Here is a 22,104-nt window from a genome sequence, read left to right as displayed (position 1 = left end):
CAAGAAATACGCAAGATGAGCCTGGTACATCCTGTCATACTAGAAAGATAGGCAGGTTATCAAAGACTACTTCAGGTCTTGTCAGAAGGACTTAAGAGCTAATAAAGGGTTTCCTGTTGGAAAAAGATGGGAGAGTTTGGAAATCAACAAGGATGCTGACAGTAGATTAAAATTTATAAAATAAGTTCAAATCCATGAGTTCATAATGGGACTTAAAAAATTATTGGTCTACTTTGAAGGATGCTGGCGATTTAACTCATTTTGAAAACTGGTAAATAAGGAAAAGAAATAAAACCCCTTTTCTTCATGAACTATACCTCAGAGTTAACAAATATGATGAGGGAAAGTTTCTCTTTACAGAAGTGTAATGAAGAAAAGATGTTTTGGGTAACTGATGAATGATGTCACCATTTTACTGCCTCTTATTAATGGAGGAAGACATATCATCATCAGTGGCTGCTAAAAATGCTAGGTATGAAGTGATGGGGAGCTTTATAATGGATGGATAAGGCTGGCAGTACCTGAATCCACAGATTTATACTAAATCTCACACAAAAGAAAACAACAAAACATTAAATGCCATCTGGTAGAAGTCCACAACACCACGTATAAACTATTCTTGTCAAGAAGAACTGAATTTGAATCTGATCAAGCCTCTAGATATAATAGCCAGTTTATAAGAAATACAAGGGATAGAAAAATATGTTAAATGATAACACAAGGGTGCGCTTAGCAAAATCTGGAAAGCAGAAGAGTGGAAGAAACAATTATGAGACTAAAGGGATAGCCTGATTGGATATTTAATATTCAGTGTACTTAATTTAATGTTTAATAATATTAAATATCTTTAATATTAACGAAGTGATCTTTTAAGAGATATTGGTATTGCAAATGTTTACAAATAGTTTCTTAGTTGAATCAAGATTGGTATGAGTTGCTAATTGTGGAGCTGGGTGATAGATTCATGATAATTCATCATATTGCTCAGTTTATATTTGAAATTGTATATTAAACTTGAAAAGACACTTTAATTTGAATTACTATTTTATCTTTTAAATGTGGTATTTCTCCTTAATTTACCCTAAGAAAACACTATAATTTTATCACAGTACCTATTAATGGTGGTTTTTCTTTCGTGAATTGAGGAAAAGAATTCAATGGGTTTATTTATTTATTTATTCCGTGGGTGTATTATCTGAATTAAGAATTCAGTGTTTTTAGCAATCTACCTACCACTTTAATACTGTTGTGCTGGTGAGATTTAATACACTTTAAGGATAATTCAAGTGTTGTACAGATATTTCAGTTTTATAAAAGATTAGTAATACTGGTTATTACCTAAAATAAAATATTAATTGGAGATCAGAGATTTAATAGCCAAATTTGTGAGTTTTACATAAAATATGTAAAACTGTGTCCCCTATATCTCTTTGATTTACTTATTTATTCATCTATCCATGAAACATTGTACTCTTCATTTAATGCTTGACATAAGAGCAGCAAAAAGCAATCCCAGCGCTCAAGGAACATAAGGTCTTAGGTAGGGTACCTGAAAACTACAGTGATTATTACATCGTTTGCTCATAACCAAGATAGAGGTATATATTCCAGAAGTTTTGGGAGTGCTGTGGAAGTAAACCTGATTTAACGTTGGGTTGGGATAGAGTTGGCAGAGATTTGCTGGAGGAGTAGCTGTGAGGTGGGACTCAAAAAATTACATAATAAAAAGAAAAGAGAAGGAATGGTACAAAGGCAGGAAGTGGAAAGAGTAAGTGGCTTTTAGAGAATTACATGTAGCTTGCCATAGCTTGAACTTAGGGATTTAAGTGAGCAACTAGTTGAAAATAGATTGGAGAATTAGAGAGAGATCCTGAAAGGTCTCATAGATGTTTGTTGAACTTTGTTATAGAACAGAAGACAAAAAAGAAAGGCCACCATCAGCTTTTTATTTTAGAAAGAGCATTTGCAGCAGTAGGTGGAAATAAAATTACTTTATTAGGGAGAGGCTTTTCACCTATTTTAGCTCAAAGTTTTAAGTCTAATTTTTTTTCTGGCCCCATGTATATTTTTCTTTCATTTTTAAAAATCTCTTTTTAAAAAAATCATGTAAAACATTTACGTAATTCTAAAACTGAAGACTCATTTCAATTGCTGTTCCTTCTACTCTTCCCTCCCTCTCTTTAGGCCATCATTTTCAAATTAGTTGGGTTATTCTGCCATTGTTGCTTTTCAAAAAATACAAGCAAATATATATAAATATTTTTCTTTCTTATGCAAAAGAAACATTCTATAAACATTTGGTATCTTTTTTTCACTTAAACTGTATCTTAGATCATTCTATAGCAGTAAATAAGATATTCCTTACTCTTTTTGCTTTTTTTTTTTTTTTTTTGAGATGGAGTTTTGCTCTTGTTGCCCAGGCTGGAGTGCAATGGCGTGAACTTGGCTCACTGCAACCTCCGCCTCCAGGGTTCAAGTGATTCTCCTGCCTCAGCCTCCCAAGTAGCTGGGATCACAGGCATGCGCCACCATGCCCAGCCAGTTTTGTATTTTCAGTAGAGTCGAGGTTTCTCCATGTTGGTCAGACTGGTCTCGAACTCCCGACCTCAGGTGATCCGCCCCCCTCTGCCTTCCAAAGTGCTGGGATTACAGGCATGAGCCACCGCTCCCAGCTCTTTTTGCATATTCTTTATCGTACTAAAGAACAACTCAATAAAATAAATACTTTATTCAGTATTTCTAATACCCAAGGTAAAGACATTCTAACAATAAACCTGTGCAACTAGAGTAGCATAGCCTCGGGCTGTTGCTTTTATCTCCAGCCAGTACTACTGCCTAAAGAATATGAAAGGAAAGATTTCTGTATTCATTTAAGAATTTTGATTTGTTAACAAGCAGTTTTTACTAGCTATGCATCTGGAATGACTAATGACTAATGAGAATTACAGGCCCACAATAGCCCCCACAATTTAATCATTCATCTGTCTACTGTTCACATATTTATTGAGCACCCATCTGTGTGAGGCACTCTGCTAGGTATTCTGGAAAAAAATTGAGTTTCATAAATATCCATTGTGTCATAGATACAAATTTAAGACATCATGAGGTCTACTTGTTAACCTTACTGTGTATGATCTCTACTTTCAAGATCTTCAGAGGAGATACTTTATTGCTACTAGCAGAATAATTTAATAGAACTCACATTCCTCAAAAGAAAGAGATACTCTTTTATTTCTTTGCTGAAGAATTCATTTAACAGCACTTTCTTCTAAGTGTTTTCTGACTACTGTACCAAACTTGGTTATATCTTTAGTGCTCCCCATACATGGGAATCAGTTGTCTTAAACATAGCAAAGAAGGATATTTATTCATTTATATGACTGTCTCGAGGTTAAATAGTTCTTTTGATGATAAAGACTTCATCTCATCTCAGTCTGTCCCCAGTGCCTAACACATGATAGTTCTCAATAAAGTTTATTGAATAAATGAAATATTTTGCTTACCTATTATGTTAAGGGAAAAATAAAGTTGTATGTCAGGAAAAAAAATCTTTTAATATCCTTGCTAAAATTTCTCGCAAGGTATGCAAGTAAAATATGGCCTTAAAAATTAAAATTTAATATGCTGTTTTTGGACCTCTAAACTATGTGACCAGAGAGGAGACATGATGGCAAAAATGATCTTCATAGCATATGCCTTTAAGAAGCAAATTTTAATTTACTGTTTCTATGAATACAACATTTATTCCATTAGATTGAAAAACACAACAATGCTTATTCATACTTTAAGCATTTATATATCTCACCTGTAGAATCAAAATTCTTCCTGCAAACTTTTATTTCTCTGTTCTCATGCAGAAATTACTAAATTCTTGCTCTGGAAAAAGAGAATTACTGTGTTGTCTTAGAGTAATACCTCCATCTGGTGGCATTTTAGAAAATTACAGAAGAGGACAGGAAACTTGTATTTTCTTGTATATCTGTAAACTGTATTACCTGTGGTTTCTCATAAAGCCAAATGAAATTACATCAAAAGCGGAGTCAACCATATGTACCAGAAATTTAATGCCCTAGTTTTCAACATATAAACAAATGACCTTGGGGATAATTATATAATCAACTGTTTAGTCCAGACTATTTCTGCTCTATCTTGGACTAAAAATTAGAAATGGAAAAAAGGATAGTTTATGAAATGTCAATTGCTTTTTTATGTGTGTGTATACACGTTAGGAAATATGAGAATTTGCTATTTCAGATTTATTGCTACAGATCCACAAAGAACTTATTAATAAGTGATTTTCTCAGACAAGCAGTGTTACTGATTTTTTAAAATAAATTATATTTTATCATAGCTCGGTTATAATAAATTATGTTCTCCTGGAGTGATAGAGATGGAAACTTGAAAACAAGCAGAAACTACAAATAAATTTCTGCCTGTTACTGTAAGAATTTTTTTTAACACATTTAATCTTTTCTTCACACATTTCTTACTTTATTATTGCTAGAGCTTTATAAAGGTAGGTACCATGCCTTCAACTTCTTGACTTCTCAAAGTTTCTAACCCAGGATTTTGTACTTAGTAGATTTTGCATATTGTCTTAGAAGAAGATTACAATCTTATTGCTTATGTTTTAGCCATAAAAATCTATAAAATATGTCATAAATCTATCAAGTATGTAATAATCTATCACGTATAAATAAATTATCAACTATGGCAGTTGTTACTATAGATTAAATCAATTCCTTTTTCTTTTTTTTGGCCAAAGATAGTTGAAATATTAAGTATGAAGTAAAATTTAATGATTTGGGGCTTTCTGCTGACGTCTAAGAAAAATTAAATTCCTAATGAATTTTGTTTGAAATTGTTTATTTTCAAATTATAGCCAGTCGGATGATGATTCTGGGTCAGCTTCAGGCTCTGGATCTGGTTCGAGTTCTGGAAGCAGTAGTGATGGAAGCAGTAGCCAGTCAGGTAGCAGTGACTCTGACTCCGGATCTGAATCAGGCAGTCAGTCAGAGTCTGAGTCAGACACTTCCCGAGAAAACAAAGTTCAAGCAAAACCACCGAAAGTTGATGGAGCTGAGGTAATCAATAAAATACCCAATGAAAGGTAGATTGCTTGTATTACTTTGGGAAAATTTAGAGGATTGGTTTATACCATTCTTAATCTAGCTTTTAGAGAAGACAACATTTTAAATTAAAATTTACTTTTAGTGATTCTCACATTCATGGTGGTACACCTGTGGACTAATTGGCTTGGAATAGATGCATTTTCGAACTAGAAAACACAAAGTGTAAATTACACACAGGCAAATAAAACGTTTTCTGCCTCTTAGGCAGAAATTGAGTTTCATAAATATCCATTGTGTCATAGATACAAATTTAAGACATTGTGAGGTCTACTTGTTAACCTTACCGTGTTATGATCTCTACTTTCAAGAGCTTCAAAGGAGATACTTTATTGCTACTAGCAGAATAATTTAATGGAACTCAGATTCCTCAAAGATAATGATGGAATAGGGTAAGGGGCTATTCTGTTTGGAAAAAACTACAAGAGATACAAAAACTTGTCTATACTTCGTGGTAGTATACAGTGTTACTCAGAGTACCAGTCTGTGATGAGATAAGATGCTTGAGGGCCAGAATATAAATCGACACACAGATTCCTTCATAGAGAAAAATGTTGCTACCGGCCCCCCGCTCAAATCTGAGCTAAAACAATGTGCCTAGTGACATCGTTGACGTATATTCTGACTCAGCCTCTTCACCTCACACTGATAAAATAGGTAACCACACTATGAGTAGCACTAATACAAATAATACTCTTAGCATCAAGAGGATATTGATTAATATTGTCTGTGGAACTCAACACACCATTTTTTTTTATACATAACTAGAGCTCAGCATTTTATTTAACTATATTGCAATGATAATTGTGTTACATATAGGTAAGGAATATAGTCTTTATTACTTTGAGGCAGTAAAGATGGTGGTATAGTTTTTCAATAAATTAACCTTTTTTTGCAGTTTTCTTAATACTTCTTCATTCACTGGTTTATATTTCTATTATAGTTTTGGAAATCTAGTCCTAGTATTCTGGCCGTTCAGAGATCTGCAATCCTCAAGAAGCAGCAACAGCAGCAGCAGCAACAACAACATCAAGCCTCATCTAATAGCGGATCAGAAGAGGTGCATTTTCATCATGAGCTATTATTTTAAAAGTGGACATGCTGCTGAATCAGTTAACTAGTATTTGTGAAATTATTAAAAATAATAAGTGCTTTGAAAGAATAAGTAGGAAATACTTTAAGTGTATATATCAAGAATCTTGAAATACAGATTTTGCATTATCCAGTAATTCCAATTTTAGGGATTAATCCAAAATAAGCAGTGGGACATTTGTGTGCATTTGCTCATTACAGCAAAATTAGAAATAAACTAAATGTGAACTCTGTGGGAAATAATTAAATGTGATATGCACCTACACGCATATACATGTATGAATGAAGGAATATTATATCATTAAATCATATTTGTACGAAATAATAACAGAAATCTCAACATAATATTTTTGAAAGAGTAGATGGCCACTATACACAATGTAGTTTGTGTGTGTGTGCAAGCATGCATACATGTATGTTTGCACAAAAACATTCAGGAAAAATTATAACAAAAAGTAATGGTGAAGAAAAAATTCAAAATTTGGCATGTTGGCACCTAGGATTTCTTGTTTTGGCTATACTAGGCAACAATAATGGTCTCCAGTGAGGGTAGATTTTAAGGTTTCATACAAAGTGCTGACATTTTGCTATTTACTTAATTTCACTGGCTATATTAATTTGCAATAAAAATGTTATTACTTTCAGCTAGTTAACATAAATAAAACTACATTGAAAAAAGGCTTCACAAGTGCTGTTATTTGTAAAGTGAATGTTAAATAGTATAGCAAATAAAAATTTAATATGGTTAAATTCTAATCATTAGTGGATGATACTGACTTTATTTCTTTTCTACAGGATTCCTCTAGCAGTGAAGATTCCGATGACTCATCAAGTGAGGTCAAAAGGAAAAAGCATAAAGAGTATGTCATTTTGTTCAACTGACTACTTCATTTTAGAAAAATCCTGATTATTTCATATTTCTTTCTTTATGAAAATTGTTGCCAAAAGGAGACTCTTCTAAATTCTTAGTTCATGGCATTTTATGAAGTTAATTTACACCATTACACAATTTAAAGATAAATCTTTAACATTTATCTTTCTGTGACCACCTGAGGGTATTATGCCATTTCTTTATCTCCTGTAACTCCCCCTATATATTTTTAAACTTTAATGATCTCCCTAGTTGTAATATCAGAAAATCTTAATAACTTGGGAATATAGGAGTATAGGGATGACAGGATGACTGATTTTGGATGGTTCTTATAATTATATTAATAGCTATCCTTACTATTCAGTTGCATGTGAAATTTACTTCATACCGTAGAACTCATTTTAGAAACTCACTGTAATTTCCTAAAGATCTGGACCCAGAAAGTATTAAGAATACTTCAGATTCTCAATCCATGTTTATTTTAATGATTTGGAAACATTATTCCATTTTCTTGTCTTTTATTTTCCTATTTGCCTTTGATATTCTGCATATTAGATTTGTTACTTATTTTTCCCAAAAAAAGATTCATGCATTTTTAATGCGAAGATTTGTATCTTTTATTAGTCTGTTCTATCTTTTATTCTGAAAATTCAATCATTTATCTTTGGATTTTTTTTCCTTTCTCTTTCTACAAATCTCTCTGGTCCTCCTATTAATAGATGTATATTGGATCATCCAGTTTTTTTTCCATTATAAAAATACACAACGGAAACTTTTTTTCGGTGTGCAAGCCCTGAAAAGATCTCAAAGTAAAAAATTTGCTTCTACTATGTTTTTATCATAAGCAGATTTTATCATATATGCTTGTTTATGTAGCCTTCATCATAGTTACAATTGGTGCAAAAGATACAGAGCAATGAAGCAGAAGCATAGCTGAAATAGGATATAGTGTATTTGTAAGAATTCAATGTGTGCCTTTCATTTGAACTTCTTATGATAGCAAAATATTAACATCCATTATTTTTCTCTACATGTTGATTGGAATGAAATAGACTTAATAGACTAAAAATAATAATACAGGTAAGGTACTCAGATTGAATATTTGAGATGGTACTACTGTTGCTCTTTTTTTTTTTTTTAATTTTTCTATGTTTCTTAATGAACGTGCACTATTTAAAAAATCAGTTTAAACAGGTGTTTTTCAAAATCACAACCTCTCGAGGATTAAAATGGCATGGATTAGTATCTCTTTTTTGAGAGGGCAAGTAGAATAATTTTATGAGATTTTCATCTATAATGAAAATTAAAATATCATTTATTTGCTGTTCACTGACGTATAACTAAGTGATTAGCAAAACTAGAGTTGTGAGAGAAGTCTATGAAGAATATTTTCCAGAGTGTTTTTGTTTTATAAATATTTCATTTTTAGCATGAGTAAAAGCAACAGTATTTTTGATAGCGAATATAGTTTGGTTGATTTGATCATCTTTGTATTAGGGATAAAACTTGCCATATAAGTACAAATAAAAATACTTTATAAATTTTGTCTGCAGTGAAGATTGGCAAATGTCTGGGTCAGGATCTCCATCTCAGTCTGGTTCAGATTCAGAATCTGAAGAAGAGAGAGAGAAAAGCAGTTGTGATGAAACAGAATCTGATTATGAGCCAAAAAACAAAGTCAAAAGCAGAAAACCTCAAAATAGGTATGGTCTCAGTTTGGTGCTGAAAATTGATTGTGGAAAGTATTTGTTCTTTTTGTATATAGTTTCTCAAATCTTGTTTTTTTTTCTCTTTGCACTTTCCTAGATCTAAGTCAAAAAATGGAAAGAAGATTCTTGGACAAAAAAAGAGACAGATTGATTCATCTGAGGAGGATGATGATGAAGAAGATTATGATAATGATAAAAGAAGTTCTCGTCGCCAAGCAACTGTTAATGTTAGCTATAAGGAGGATGAAGAAATGAAAACAGATTCTGATGACCTACTGGAAGTCTGTGGAGAGGATGTTCCTCAACCTGAGGAAGAGGAATTTGAAACCATAGAAAGATTTATGGATTGTCGGATTGGGAGAAAAGGAGGTAGTTTTTAAAAAACCATTTATTGTTTGGTTATTTAAATAATATTTACAGGAGTAGAGGGCTGGGCACAGTGGGTCGCCCCTGTAATCCCAGTACTTTGGGGGGCCGAGGCCGATGGATCAGGAGTTCTAGACCTGAGGTCAGGAGTTCTAGACCAGCCTGGCCAACGTGGCAAAACCCCATCTCTACTAAAAATAGAAAAGATTAGCTAGGTGAGGTGGTGCGCACCTGTAGTCCCAGCTACTTGGGAAGCCGAGGCAAGGGAATTGCTTGAACCCACGAGGCTGAGGTTGCAGTGAGCTGAGATTGCACGACTGCACTCCAGCCTGGGTGACAGAGCGAAACTCCATCTCAAAAAAAAAAAAAAAAGGTAAAGTATTTAAGATTTTTCTACAGTGTTGAAAGCTAAGAGGGTGGATTTTTTGTTGTTGTTGTTTTACTTATGTTTTATAAAAGCTACTTTGCTTAGCCTGAGTACCTTCTTAATAACCACCTGACCACATTTCTTTTTTCTTTTTTTTTTTTTTTTGTGACAGAATCTCGTTCTGTTGTCCAGGCTGGAGTGCAGTGGCACGGTCTCAGCTCACTGCAAGCTCCGCCTCCCAGGTTCACGCCATTCTCCTGCCTCAGCCTCCCGAGTAGCTGGGACTACAGGTGCCTGCCAGGACACCTGGCTGATTTTTTGTATTTTTAGCAGAGATGGGGTTTCACCGTGTTAGCCAGGATGGTCTTGATCTCCTGACCTCGTGATCCGCCCGCCTCGGCCTCCCAAATTGCTGGGATTACAGGCGTGAGCCACCGTGCTGGGCCTCCAGCTGACCACGTTTCATATATTGTGGATAATTATAGAATAATGCTGTGGGATCTCAGGTGGATCTCTGTCTTTTTATTTTTTCTAATTCGAAAAAGGAGGGGATTATATTAGATAATTCTGAAATTCTCAGTTTTATTTATGAGCAATAGAATTTCCCATAAGTTTCTATACCCCCAATACTTTATTTAAAAGAGTATATATTTTTGTACTCATATTATTGAAATTTTGAGTTGAAATATAATCCTACAACAGAATTAATTACATGGAAGGATCTTGTGCTTTTGTTTTCAGCTACTGGTGCTACTACAACCATCTATGCAGTTGAAGCAGATGGTGACCCAAATGCAGGCTTTGAAAAAAACAAAGAACCAGGAGAGATTCAGTATTTAATTAAATGGAAAGGATGGTCCCATATCCACAACACTTGGGAGACAGAAGAAACCCTCAAGCAGCAGAATGTTAGAGGAATGAAAAAATTGGATAATTATAAGAAAAAAGATCAGGAAACAAAAAGATGGTAAGTATGCTGTATATCATATACTTCTTTTAATAGTTCAAAGATTACTAAACCTTTATGTTAATAAAGAATACATAGTAACATTAAATGATAGCCTAAAATAGCTATAGACTTTATAATACAGTTGGCTGTCTTTGTCCACAGCTTCTCTATCCTTGGTTTCAACCAACCATGGATTGAAAGTATTCGGAGGGAAAAAAAACAACAATAACACAAATTAAAAACAATACCATGTAACAACTATTTGCACTGCATTTACGTTGTAAATGTAAAATTGGGTATTATAAGAACATCTAGAGATGATTTAAAGTATGGGGGAGGATGTGTGTGGGTTATATTTTAGGTACCATGTCATTTCATATAAGGGACTTGAGCATCCTCAGATTCTGGTATCTGTAGAGGATCCTCAACCAATCCCCTGCAGGTAGTGAGGGATGATTTTATTCCATCTCAAGGTAAAACTCCTAGAGGTATACCTATCTAAACCTATCCTTGGTAACAGTCACATAGAGTGTGTCTCATACATTATAAATTACAAATTTTTAGTTAAAAATTAATGATGCTTTATTCCTGTTTGAGTTTCTTTATTACTCAAACTTGGCCCACACAGTGGCAAAATGGGAGATTTTGTGCTACAAATAGTGTTGGGGATGGGGGAGTGAAAGGTTATTTATGGGAGATTTTTAAGTCTATTCCTGGATTAATAATTTTTCAGGTTGAAAAATGCCTCTCCAGAAGATGTGGAATATTATAATTGCCAGCAAGAACTTACAGATGATCTACATAAACAGTATCAAATAGTGGAACGTATAATTGGTTAGTGATAAATGATTCTAGTTAAACTTTCTTTTTATGCTTGAAATAATCTGAAAAAAGTCATAAGTTTGCCACTTACATATCAAACACAGTAGCTTGCTCTTACTAAAACAGTATTGTAAACTAGATAGCTAAATTTTACTTGTGTAGCCTTTACTAAGAATTATGTATCTGATGATTAAATGTAAAAAAAAATAAATAAATAAGTAAATGCCTGATTCTCTCACAGCTCATTCCAATCAAAAGTCAGCAGCTGGTTATCCTGATTATTACTGCAAATGGCAGGGCCTTCCATACTCAGAGTGCAGCTGGGAAGATGGAGCTCTCATTTCCAAAAAGTTTCAAGCATGCATTGATGAGTATTTTAGCAGGAACCAATCAAAAACCACTCCTTTTAAAGATTGCAAAGTGAGTATTGTCTAACATTTTAAATTATTAAAAATATATTTATACATTATAAATATTTACAAGCCTAAATACAAGAGTTGGATCCTGATTTCAGATAGACTAAGGGAGAATATTTCTTGGTTAATAGGTCTTACAGGAAGTGAACTTCTGCAATTGCTGTGTGTTTTTTAGTTTTAGTTTTATAATTTTTTATTTCAAACTTTCTCTTAAAAAAATTGTAAATGATGTTTTCGTCAATGTATCTTCTTAAGTGTTGTCTTTTATCTTGTTGAGCATCACTATGTCAGAAAGATGAGTTGGTTATGGTGATTGTCAGGAAGGGTTGGGAGAATAAACAGAAAAAAACCCTTGGAAACTAGAGATATGCTCAATTTTAAAGATAGTGGATATTTTCTTAGAAGGTAGAGAAAAAGGAGAGTGATATAGGAAAGTATCCAGAACTACCTTGCACAATACTTTCTGCATCCTTGTAACTTACCCAGAGTTACTAGTGATGTGTTGAGATCTATGGACTACTAGACTTTCTTTCCTTATTACAAGAATTACATTCTTCATAGGGATAACTTGGAATTCAGAAATTGAACGGTAAGCTAAGCCAGTTTTATGGTTTGTAGCTTAAGGCTGGAGTGATGGTTTTGAACAATTTAACGTAGGTTTTGCTTGTGAAATACATGAGACTCATATTTTGGCAGGAAGTTAATTTTCTCTATACATTTTTGTTTAAAAAAGAAGGCAAAATATTTCACTGTTCATTTTTGTAGAGTAGTAGAAAACAGTATTGACTGAATCCTCAGGTACATTTTGAGTAATGGAATCTCTGAGCTTGATGATTAGAGATGAAATTTAAGAATTTATGGTAAAGCTGAGGCTTTCATCTTTTAGTATAATTTCTTATATTTAATAACTCTACATAATAATGTTTATTTCTACTAAAGGTATTAAAACAAAGGCCAAGGTTTGTAGCCCTGAAGAAGCAGCCATCCTATATTGGAGGACATGAGGGCTTAGAATTAAGAGATTATCAACTGAATGGTTTAAATTGGCTTGCTCATTCTTGGTGCAAGTAAGTATATTTTGAATCATCTATTTAATTTGACAGAGTAAGAATTTACCAATACAGGATTCAGAAAAGATTTCCATTTACATAAAGAATAAGACTCTTTGGCAGTTTATATGCTAGTCTTTGTATTTCCTAGTTTGTATAAACAATACTTACTACATACTAGGAAGAAAATCCAGTGGAGTTGGAGTTTAACTTGATTGTTGCCTTTTTAAAATATGTTTTTATTCAGTTTAAAAATCAAAATGCATATCTGTTCTCATCCCATGCTATTCCTGGAATATTTCTCTTTTTCCTAGTTATTTTAATATCCATTTACTCTTCTACATTTTTTTTCTATCTTCTATGGCCCCCACTCTACTTTTGTGAATCTCGGTTGCAATTTAGCTATAGTTTTTTTTTTTAATCTGTGTTCTTCCTATATACTTTTTACTTATTTAATATATCTGGACTCTACTACTAGTAGATGAATTGCATTATTGGCTTCATAATTGATTAAACATAATACTATTAATCTTTAAGCCTCTTCTGGCCCAAAACGGTCATCTCCTTTTACTTTTCTTACAGCATTAGTGATTAAGTCTTTAGCCAGATACCTTTACATTTATTATTTGTAGTTAATAAAAGTGGTATATTCTATATAATACCTATCAATTTTATTTAACTTCATAAAAACATATACACATGATGTAAAAAGGTTTCTTTGTATATTTGAATATTTCCTTGCATGCTAATTTTTTTTTAACTTTGTAGAGGAAATAGTTGCATACTCGCTGATGAAATGGGCCTTGGAAAAACAATACAGACGATCTCATTTCTGAATTATTTGTTTCATGAACATCAATTATATGGACCTTTTTTATTGGTAGTACCGCTCTCCACTCTTACTTCCTGGCAAAGGGAAATTCAGACTTGGGCTTCTCAAATGAATGCTGTGGTTTATTTAGGTGACATTAACAGCAGAAACATGGTAAGTTGTTTCCCTGTAAATGTAGAAATCAAAATGTACTTGTCTTTGAGATCAAGTGTTTTTGTTGTTTTGAGATGGGGTTTCACTCTGTCTCCCAGGCTGGAGTGCAGTGGTATGATCTTGGCTCACTGCAACTGGGACCACAGGAGCACGCCACCACTCCTGGCTAATTTTTTATATTTTTTAGTGGAGACAGGGTTTTACTGTGTTGCCAGGCTGGTCTTGAACTGAGCTCAAGTGATCTGCCTCCCTTGGCCTCCCAAAGTGCTGAGATTACAGGCATGAACCACCGTTCTTGGCCTAACAAGGATGAGAGGTTTTGTTTTGTTTTGGTCTGTATAACAGTCTTTGTTTCTGGTATAGAACTTGCCACAAATAAGTTCTCAGTACATGTTTAATTGACTGTAACAAAGTCAGTTTTGGTTTAGTGTTACTTAGTATATATATTTGACTGTTTTTTTGGTGGGTTTTTTTTTTTTTGTTTTCACTCTGTCATCCAGACTGGAGTACAGTGGTGTGATCTCGGCTCATTGCAACCTCCACCTCCCAGGTTCAAGTGATTCTTCTGCCTCACCCTTCCAAGTAGCTGGCATTACAAGCGCCTGCCACCAGGCCCGGCTAATTTTCATATTTTTAGTAGAGATGGGGTTTCACTATGTTGCCCAGGCTGGTCTCAAACTCCTGACCTCAAGTGATCCACCTGCCTTGGCCTCCCAAAGTGCTGGGATTTACAGGCGTGAGCCACCATACCAGCCTATTTTACATTTTTAATGGAAAATTTCAAATATGCATGAGAACAGACAGAAGAATGTAATAAACACTCATGTTCTTAAGTTTCACAAATTTACTGCTAGTTTTGTTTTGTCTATACCTCTACACACGACTTTCCTAGTTACTGTGAAGCAAACCCCAGACATCATATTTCATCCATAAACATTACATTATTAAATGAATTAATCACTTATGTTTTCTTAAATAAGACCTTTTCGTTTGTGAAAGATGTGCTTTAAAATTGTGTTTACTTCGTTTTTTAAGAAATGCTGTGGTATTTATGTTTTATTTATAAGATTTACATAGCATTTTGGACTATATAAAGAATAACTCTGGCCGGGCATGCCGGCTCATGCCTGTAATCCCAGCGCTTTGGGAGGCCAAGGTAGGTGGATCATCTGAGGCTGGGAGTTCGAGACCAGTCTGACCAACATGGAGATACCCTGTCTCTACTAAAAATACAAAATTAGCTGGGCGTGGTGGTGCATTCCTGTAATCCTAGCTACTCGGGAGGCTGAGGCAGGAGGATCACTTGAACCCGGGAGGTGGAGGTTGTGGTGAGCCGAGATCACGCCATTGCACTCCACCCTGGACAACAAGAGCAAAACTCTGTCTCAAAAAAAAAAAACCACAAAAACTCTTTTATTACATAAACATATATTAATAGTTACTTACATATTTGAATGGATTTTAATTTTTAGATATGTAAGTAAAAGTATAATTTGCTTGATGTTTGTCTTAAAAATTGTCCTTCAAATTTCTTAATAGATAAGAACTCATGAATGGACGCATCATCAGACCAAACGGTTAAAATTTAATATATTGTTAACAACTTATGAAATTTTATTAAAAGATAAGGTATGTATTTATTTCTCACGTGTTTTGGTCTCTTGTATATCAGTTTTTTCTTTATCATATGCTGTGGACAAGATGAGAGAATAGCCTAAATCGTGAGTCAGCAAGCTATAGCCTGTGGTCTTATTTTTTTAATGGTGCTTGAACTAAGAATGGTTTTTACCTTTTTGAAAGGTTACATTTAAAGGGTCTTAGAAAGAATATGTAACAGAGACCATATATTTATCTGCAAAGTCTGAAATATTTACTATCTGGCTCTTCTTAGAAAAAGCTTGCCAACTCAATCGAATGAAACCAGTTTGTTATAGTGTGTATTGATTTGTAAGCTCTTTAAAGAAGAGGAAGATACCTAACAGGATTAAGCTACCACTGTGTGAAGCAGTGAAGGCTTTATAGATACTGTCTTATTTAATTCCTCCATCTACTTTATATTCACTTTCTCTACTTTATGGAAAAGAAAATCAGTCTCAAAAATGTCTCAAAGAATTTAATGAACTTGGCTGTGGTAACACAGCTCTTAAGTAGCGGAATCAGGCCTGCTCTAACTCAGAGACCTAAGTTTAAGAGAGTTCTACAGTTCATAAAAGTTGTACAAAGAATTGTACCTACACTTGGAATAAGACACTGTTCTGAATTTGTGTCATAGTTTTTTTTTCATATTGACATTAATAGAGGCTTCTATTGGGGTTAGGCTAAAAATCTTTTGTAAAAATTTTAAATGACACTGCTGATTTTTCTCCGTTAATTATCAGTTTATAAGCTAATAAAAACTTTGGCTTGATATTACATTCTAGTGGTTAAATTTGTCATAGAAGGAATATGTGCTGAGTTACTTATGTATTGTAATCTTGAGATTACGATTTTTTATTTGAAAATTAGACAAAGTTTGTTTTTAATTTTTATTTCATTTTAATAATTGAGTTCAGATTAAATGGGAAGGCTAAATTTGAATTCCGTTTTTCTCTCAAAATACTGTTTTTCTATTATTTTAAGGCATTCCTTGGAGGTCTAAATTGGGCATTTATAGGTGTTGATGAAGCACACCGATTAAAGAATGATGACTCCCTTCTGTATAAAACTTTAATAGATTTTAAATCCAATCATCGTCTCCTTATCACTGGAACTCCTCTACAGAATTCCCTCAAAGAGCTCTGGTCTTTGCTACATTTCATTATGCCAGAAAAGTAAGACAACTTTACAATTTTAATCATATTGTGTGGATATTATGTTTAGTGGGAATAAACCCAGGTAATAAGGTCAGTAAGAGTTTTTATTGCCCTAAAAGATTAGATCACAGATTACTAAGAATTTTTTAAAAAGGAAAATGAGGTCAGGTAGTTTGTAATACTATTTGAATTTTTCAATTTTGTTAATAAACTTAAGCCATGTGTAATAAATCACGACAGTTGATTTTGCACATTTTCAAAATATACCTTGTTTGAAAAACTAACACAGTACCATTCTTTGTATTTAACAGTAGGAGTAACAACAATGAGGTGCTGGTAATCCCTTTTTCTAAATGAGGAAAACTAGACTAGACAAGGCTAAATAAGTTCCCAAAGGTCACTACTTGTTCTCTTTCAGTAGGTCCAGAACTTTAAAAGTATATTTTTTTGAGAAATATTTTAGTGATAATTACTCCCATACTTCAAAATACTTCATATTCACTTGATTCAAGAATCATAACTTATAAAACAACTAATTATATTTCATCATGCATCTTCTTGGGAGGGAGATTTTTAGAGGTAACTAAGTTTAGCTAATTTTTTTTTCTAAAAATCTGTAGTATTTTGTTTATAAATGACTCCCCTAAAAAAAAAAGTTCATACACAACATACACAATTTGATTTTTTCTAGTAATTGTTCCAATTTCTTAAATTTTAAAGGTTTTCTTCCTGGGAAGATTTTGAAGAAGAACATGGCAAAGGGAGAGAATATGGTTATGCAAGCCTTCACAAGGAGCTTGAGCCATTTCTGTTACGCCGAGTTAAGAAAGATGTGGAAAAATCTCTTCCTGCCAAGGTTGAGCAGATTTTAAGAATGGAAATGAGTGCTTTACAGAAACAATATTACAAGTAAGCTGTACACAGAACACAGTTCTGAACTTCTAATTCTGAAAACCTTCCATGTCTGTGTCCTGCTTTTGGTGCCCCCACCTTCTCTACAATAGTGTCTTAGAGCAGTTGCAATTCTCGAGTTTCAGAATAAGTTTATTCTGTGTCGTTAGGAGGCAAAAGGAGATTTAATGACATATCCAAAATTATGAGTGACAACACTGAGTAATTCATCTTCTGACACATAATTAATTGCTTTCCTATATATCATACTGTTATCTTATAAAGAGTTTAAGTGTTAGGATTTCCACAATAATAAAGGTATTATATGATTATGACAATTAACAGAGGCCAAAAAAAGAAACTTAGAAAAAAATTTTAGGCTCTGCTGCTTTTTGAAGAGTATTAACAAATCATAGCTGGTATAAATTTTGTATGTCAAGATCTATACAGTAGGACTTTTCAAAGAATCAGAAAGGAAAATCTGTTCTAATATCTGTTTAAACATTTAATTGCATAAAAGGAAATATATTGCTACATGCATTTGGAGTTTCAGAAACATTTATATTCTATGGTAAATCTATAGGTGCCATACATTTGAAAGAATATACTTAATTGCATAATTATTTTTATTATGGAAGATGTCAGACATATACAAAAATAGGATAATTTAATGAACTCTTATACCCATGACTCAGCTTCACTTTCTTTCTTTTTTTTGTTTGTTTGTTTTTTGAGACGGAGTCTCCCTTTGTACTCCAGGCTGGAGTACAGTGGCACAATCTTGGCTCACTGCAACCTCCACCTTCTGGTTTCAAATGATTCTGGTGCCTCAGCCTCCCAAGTAGCTGGGTTTACAGGTGTGCCCCACAATGCCCTGCTGATTTTTTTATTTTTAGTAGAGACAGGGTTTTGCCATGCTGGCCAGGCTGATCCTGAACTCCTGGCCCCAAGCGATCCACACGCCTCAGCCTTCCAAAGTGCTGGGATTACAGGTATGAGCCACTGTGCCCAGCCCCAGCTTCCCTTTCAACTCATGCCAGTCTTTTTATGTATCTCTGGTCATCCCCATTTCCCTCAGTACCTGTCCTTTTGAAGCAGATTGGAAATTTTTCCATAAATATTTTTCTGTGTATTTCTAATAATTGATTTTTAAAAATACTAGTATCACCTGGGCCCAGTGGCTCATGCCTGTAATCCCAGTACTTTGGGAGGCTGAGGCAGACAGATCACTTGAGCCTCAAGAGTTTGAGACCAGCCTAGGCAACATGGCAAAACCCTGTCTCTACTCAAGATACAAAAAACTTAGCCAGGAGTGGTGGTGGGTGCATGTGGTCCCAGCTGCTTGGTAGGCTGAGGTGGGAGGATCGCTTGAGCCCATGAGGCAGAGGTTGCAGTGAACCGAGGTCATGCCACTGCACTCCAGCCTGGGTGACAGAGTGAGACCCCATCTTAAGTAAATAAATAACCCACTTTAAAATTTTCACAATTTAGGAAATTATTGCTCTCTCAGCAGAATCAATTTCTTGATACCAATATTCAGTATCAGTGTTCAAGTTTTCTCTGTTGTCTCAAAAAATTTTTTTACGTTTACTCGAATTGGGATTGAGATAGGTTCATATATGGCAATTGATTTGTCTCTGAGTTTATTATCTATAGGTACTTCTTTTTTGTTAAAATGTATACGATGGGGAAAACAGTTATTCTGTAGAATTTTTCCACAATCTAGATTTTGCATAGTACTTCCCTCTAAAATAGTTTAACAGTATCCTCTGTATTTCCTACAGATTGGTAGGTAGATGTAGGTGCTTGATAATATTCAAATTAATAATTATGAGAAGAGTATATTTTGTAGTACACAATGGCGATTATCTAATTTTGTTATGGGGTTCTTTAAAAAAAGTAATGCATTTTGTAGAATATTTAGAAAGAAAAGTCAAAGTAGGAAGAAGACACATTCACCTGTAATTCTCTTAGTGCTAGTCATATATCATGGATGTTGAACTTAAACTCTTCAAGGTACTTTTTGGCAACTAAGGTAATAAGATACTGCCATAAATTTCTGGAAAAATTCTTAGAATTTTTACCTCTAGAGAAATTAATAATAAATTTTTTCTGGATAAGGAAAAATATTCTTTATTCTTGATTACCTCTTAGGGCATTGAGCATTGTCCATGGGTTTCGTTTTGCTTTTCATTCCAGTTTTGGGGAACTGCCTGTATAACTAGTGGTAAAGAATGGTAATAAAAGAGTATGTACACTAGATATTTGAGACTTTCAAGTCCCTTCAAAAACTGACCTTGTAAAAAGGAAGAAAATAAAAGGTGGAAAAGGTCATGGTGAGAGGAAATTTTTCTTTTCTTTTTTAAATTCAGCTTTTATTTTAGATACTGGAGGTATATGTGCAGGTTTGTTACATGGGTAATATTGCATCCAGGTAGTGAGCATGGTACGCAGTGGGTAGTTTTCAACCCATGTTCCCCTCCTTCCCCCCTCTAGTAGTCGACAGTGTTGTTACATGTTTATGTCCATGTGTGCTCAGTGTTTAACTTGCACTTGTAAGTGAGAACATGCGGTGTTTGGTTTTCTGTTTCTGTGTTAATTCACTTAGATTATGGTCTACAGCTCCATCCATGGATATTATTTTATTTGAAGGGCATTATTTCATCCTTTTTTTTCTGTGGCTGTGTAGTATTCATGGGATATATATACAAAAATATGGAGTGTTCATGGATTTGCATGTCATCCTTGTATGGGGACCATTCTAATCTCTGTATTGGTCCAGTTTTAGTATAAATGCTGCCGAAGTGAGCACAGGAATTGTTACATGTAGTTTGGAGTAGTAAAATATCACCAAGATGTTTTCTATAAGTTACATATGTATTGTGTAATTGCAATCTAGAGAAGGCAGTCGTGGCTAAAACCAGGTATCCTCAGGTTTCTTTTAGGTCCATGCAAAATAATTCAGTTTCATTAGCTGTCTAATGCAGTAAAAGTTGTAAGAAGATTCAGATAAATAATGCAGCTGACCATCTTTTTAGCAAATTTGAGGGGAAAGGATTAATACACTGTAATAATTATGTTACATTAGCCTGTTCTGTGTATAGCTAATGGTTCAGAAAACAAGTTGTGTTCTCATGAGTATTATGAAAGAGGTTTGGTCCGTTGTATATACAGCTGTGAATTTTATAACGGTACAGTTTTACTTTGGTACTATCGTTGGCTTTTTTTGTTTGTTTTAATGCTTTTAGAATTTATCCTGGTAATTGTTCTGCTAAACATCGTTTTCATAATTTTTTTTTTTAAGATGGATTTTAACTAGGAATTACAAAGCCCTCAGCAAAGGTTCCAAGGGCAGTACCTCAGGCTTTTTGAACATTATGATGGAGCTAAAGAAATGTTGTAACCATTGCTACCTCATTAAACCACCAGATAATAATGAATTCTATAATAAACAGGAGGCCTTACAAGTAAGAATTTTTAAATGTTGTTTCTTTGTGATAAAGTTCTAGAAATGTTGATTTCACTTACAATCGAAAATGGCTCAATGCTTTAACTTATTGGATAAAAGTTCTCTTTAGTTAATGGTGCCTTTCTATAATGGTCTCAGTTATTAATCTTTGTAGAAAAGACTTTAAAATTCTAATTTATGTAATTATTTTGATGAATTTTCTAAAAATAGGTCTCTCAAACCATGGCCTATAATAACTTATCCAGCAAGAAAATCCCACAGTATGTTCATAATTATGAAAAAATCGTTAATAGTAATTGTGCTGCATTTGTGATTTGGTAAATGGTAATCTAAAGGACATCTTGACCTCACATCTTAACCCTTCCTGGTACTTCTGGAAGATAAGTCAGAAGTGCGAAGGCACAGCTGCAATCCAGCCACTGTAGTGCATTGAAGGGCTAGGATCAGCATCTAGAATTAATACATTAGAATGCATTTGCTTACTCTTTTTAAACCTTTGGTTGCTTAGTTGCTGCTGCTTCTGATGTCATTGTTCTTCAGCTAAGATTTTTGGAGAAACACTGTGGTATAGTAACTAGCAAACAGAGTGAACAGTACTTTTTTCCTCCCCGATAGTATAACAAAACCTAGGTGTGATATGGCAAAGGGTATTTTAGCTTCAGTCATAGAGTGAAATGGTAAAGGTCTTAGAAAATTTTGAAAAGTGAAATAAGTTGTTTTCTAACATGAAAATTTAAAATCTCAATTTAAAATAATTCAGGCAACTAAAGTGTTACGTGGACAACTTACCATTTATGTCTTTTAACATATAACAACTTGAATTGTTTCTGTAGCACTTAATTCGTAGTAGCGGAAAATTGATTCTTCTTGACAAGCTATTAATTCGCCTAAGAGAACGAGGCAATCGAGTTCTTATTTTTTCACAAATGGTGCGGATGTTAGATATACTTGCAGAATATTTGAAATATCGTCAATTCCCCTTTCAAGTAAGCATTTAATTGTATTTGTTGTTTTAAATTTTATCTAATTCCTGTGCATATTTTACAGAATTAACTGAAATTATTTTATAAGTGTTTAGGTTTTTATATAAACTGTACTTTTTCTTTAAAAAGATGTATCTGCTTTAAAAAATATTTGTCATTCCCGGTTTTTCTTGACTTTACATATTGCAACAAAACAATTTTTCTTCCTTTCCTG

The 22,104-nt window shown here is 33.8% G+C and overlaps 1 protein-coding gene and 1 pseudogene across 11 annotated transcripts in view, besides 1 other annotated feature; one reads left to right on the top strand and one right to left on the bottom strand.

Annotated features, from left to right (window-relative positions):
* Positions 1–22,104, top strand: part of CHD1 (chromodomain helicase DNA binding protein 1) — a 75,023-nt gene that overhangs the window by 19,027 nt on the left and 33,892 nt on the right. For all 11 annotated transcript variants that reach the window (NR_157079.3, NR_157078.3, NM_001376194.2 and 8 more), the window contains exons 3-17: positions 4,883–5,084; positions 6,073–6,189; positions 7,017–7,081; positions 8,646–8,795; positions 8,899–9,170; positions 10,276–10,501; positions 11,217–11,317; positions 11,547–11,725; positions 12,661–12,788; positions 13,539–13,755; positions 15,295–15,384; positions 16,375–16,565; positions 17,268–17,456; positions 20,743–20,905; positions 21,741–21,893. Coding sequence is in view for 9 of the 11 variants with exons in the window: in NM_001376194.2 (NP_001363123.1) it covers positions 4,883–5,084; positions 6,073–6,189; positions 7,017–7,081; positions 8,646–8,795; positions 8,899–9,170; positions 10,276–10,501; positions 11,217–11,317; positions 11,547–11,725; positions 12,661–12,788; positions 13,539–13,755; positions 15,295–15,384; positions 16,375–16,565; positions 17,268–17,456; positions 20,743–20,905; positions 21,741–21,893 (2,443 nt within the window). In the remaining 2 variants the exon portion in view is untranslated. The remainder of the gene's footprint in view (positions 1–4,882; positions 5,085–6,072; positions 6,190–7,016; positions 7,082–8,645; positions 8,796–8,898; positions 9,171–10,275; positions 10,502–11,216; positions 11,318–11,546; positions 11,726–12,660; positions 12,789–13,538; positions 13,756–15,294; positions 15,385–16,374; positions 16,566–17,267; positions 17,457–20,742; positions 20,906–21,740; positions 21,894–22,104) is intronic.
* Positions 4,328–5,527: an enhancer, noted in NCBI's record as "P300/CBP strongly-dependent group 1 enhancer chr5:98240158-98241357 (GRCh37/hg19 assembly coordinates)". NCBI's record gives its function as "activates an origin of replication core promoter dependent on BRD2, BRD4, P300/CBP, MED14 and CDK7 cofactors, with strong dependence on P300/CBP, by STARR-seq in HCT116 cells {active_cell/tissue: HCT116}" and the evidence as "EXISTENCE:reporter gene assay evidence [ECO:0000049][PMID:35650434]".
* Positions 20,148–20,250, bottom strand: RNU6-402P (RNA, U6 small nuclear 402, pseudogene; annotated as a pseudogene).

This window comes from Homo sapiens, chromosome 5, assembly GCF_000001405.40.
Source record: "Homo sapiens chromosome 5, GRCh38.p14 Primary Assembly".
NCBI classification, from domain to species: domain Eukaryota; kingdom Metazoa; phylum Chordata; class Mammalia; order Primates; family Hominidae; genus Homo; species Homo sapiens.
Note: the sequence above shows the minus strand (reverse complement) of the source record. Positions and strands in the feature narration are given on the sequence as shown.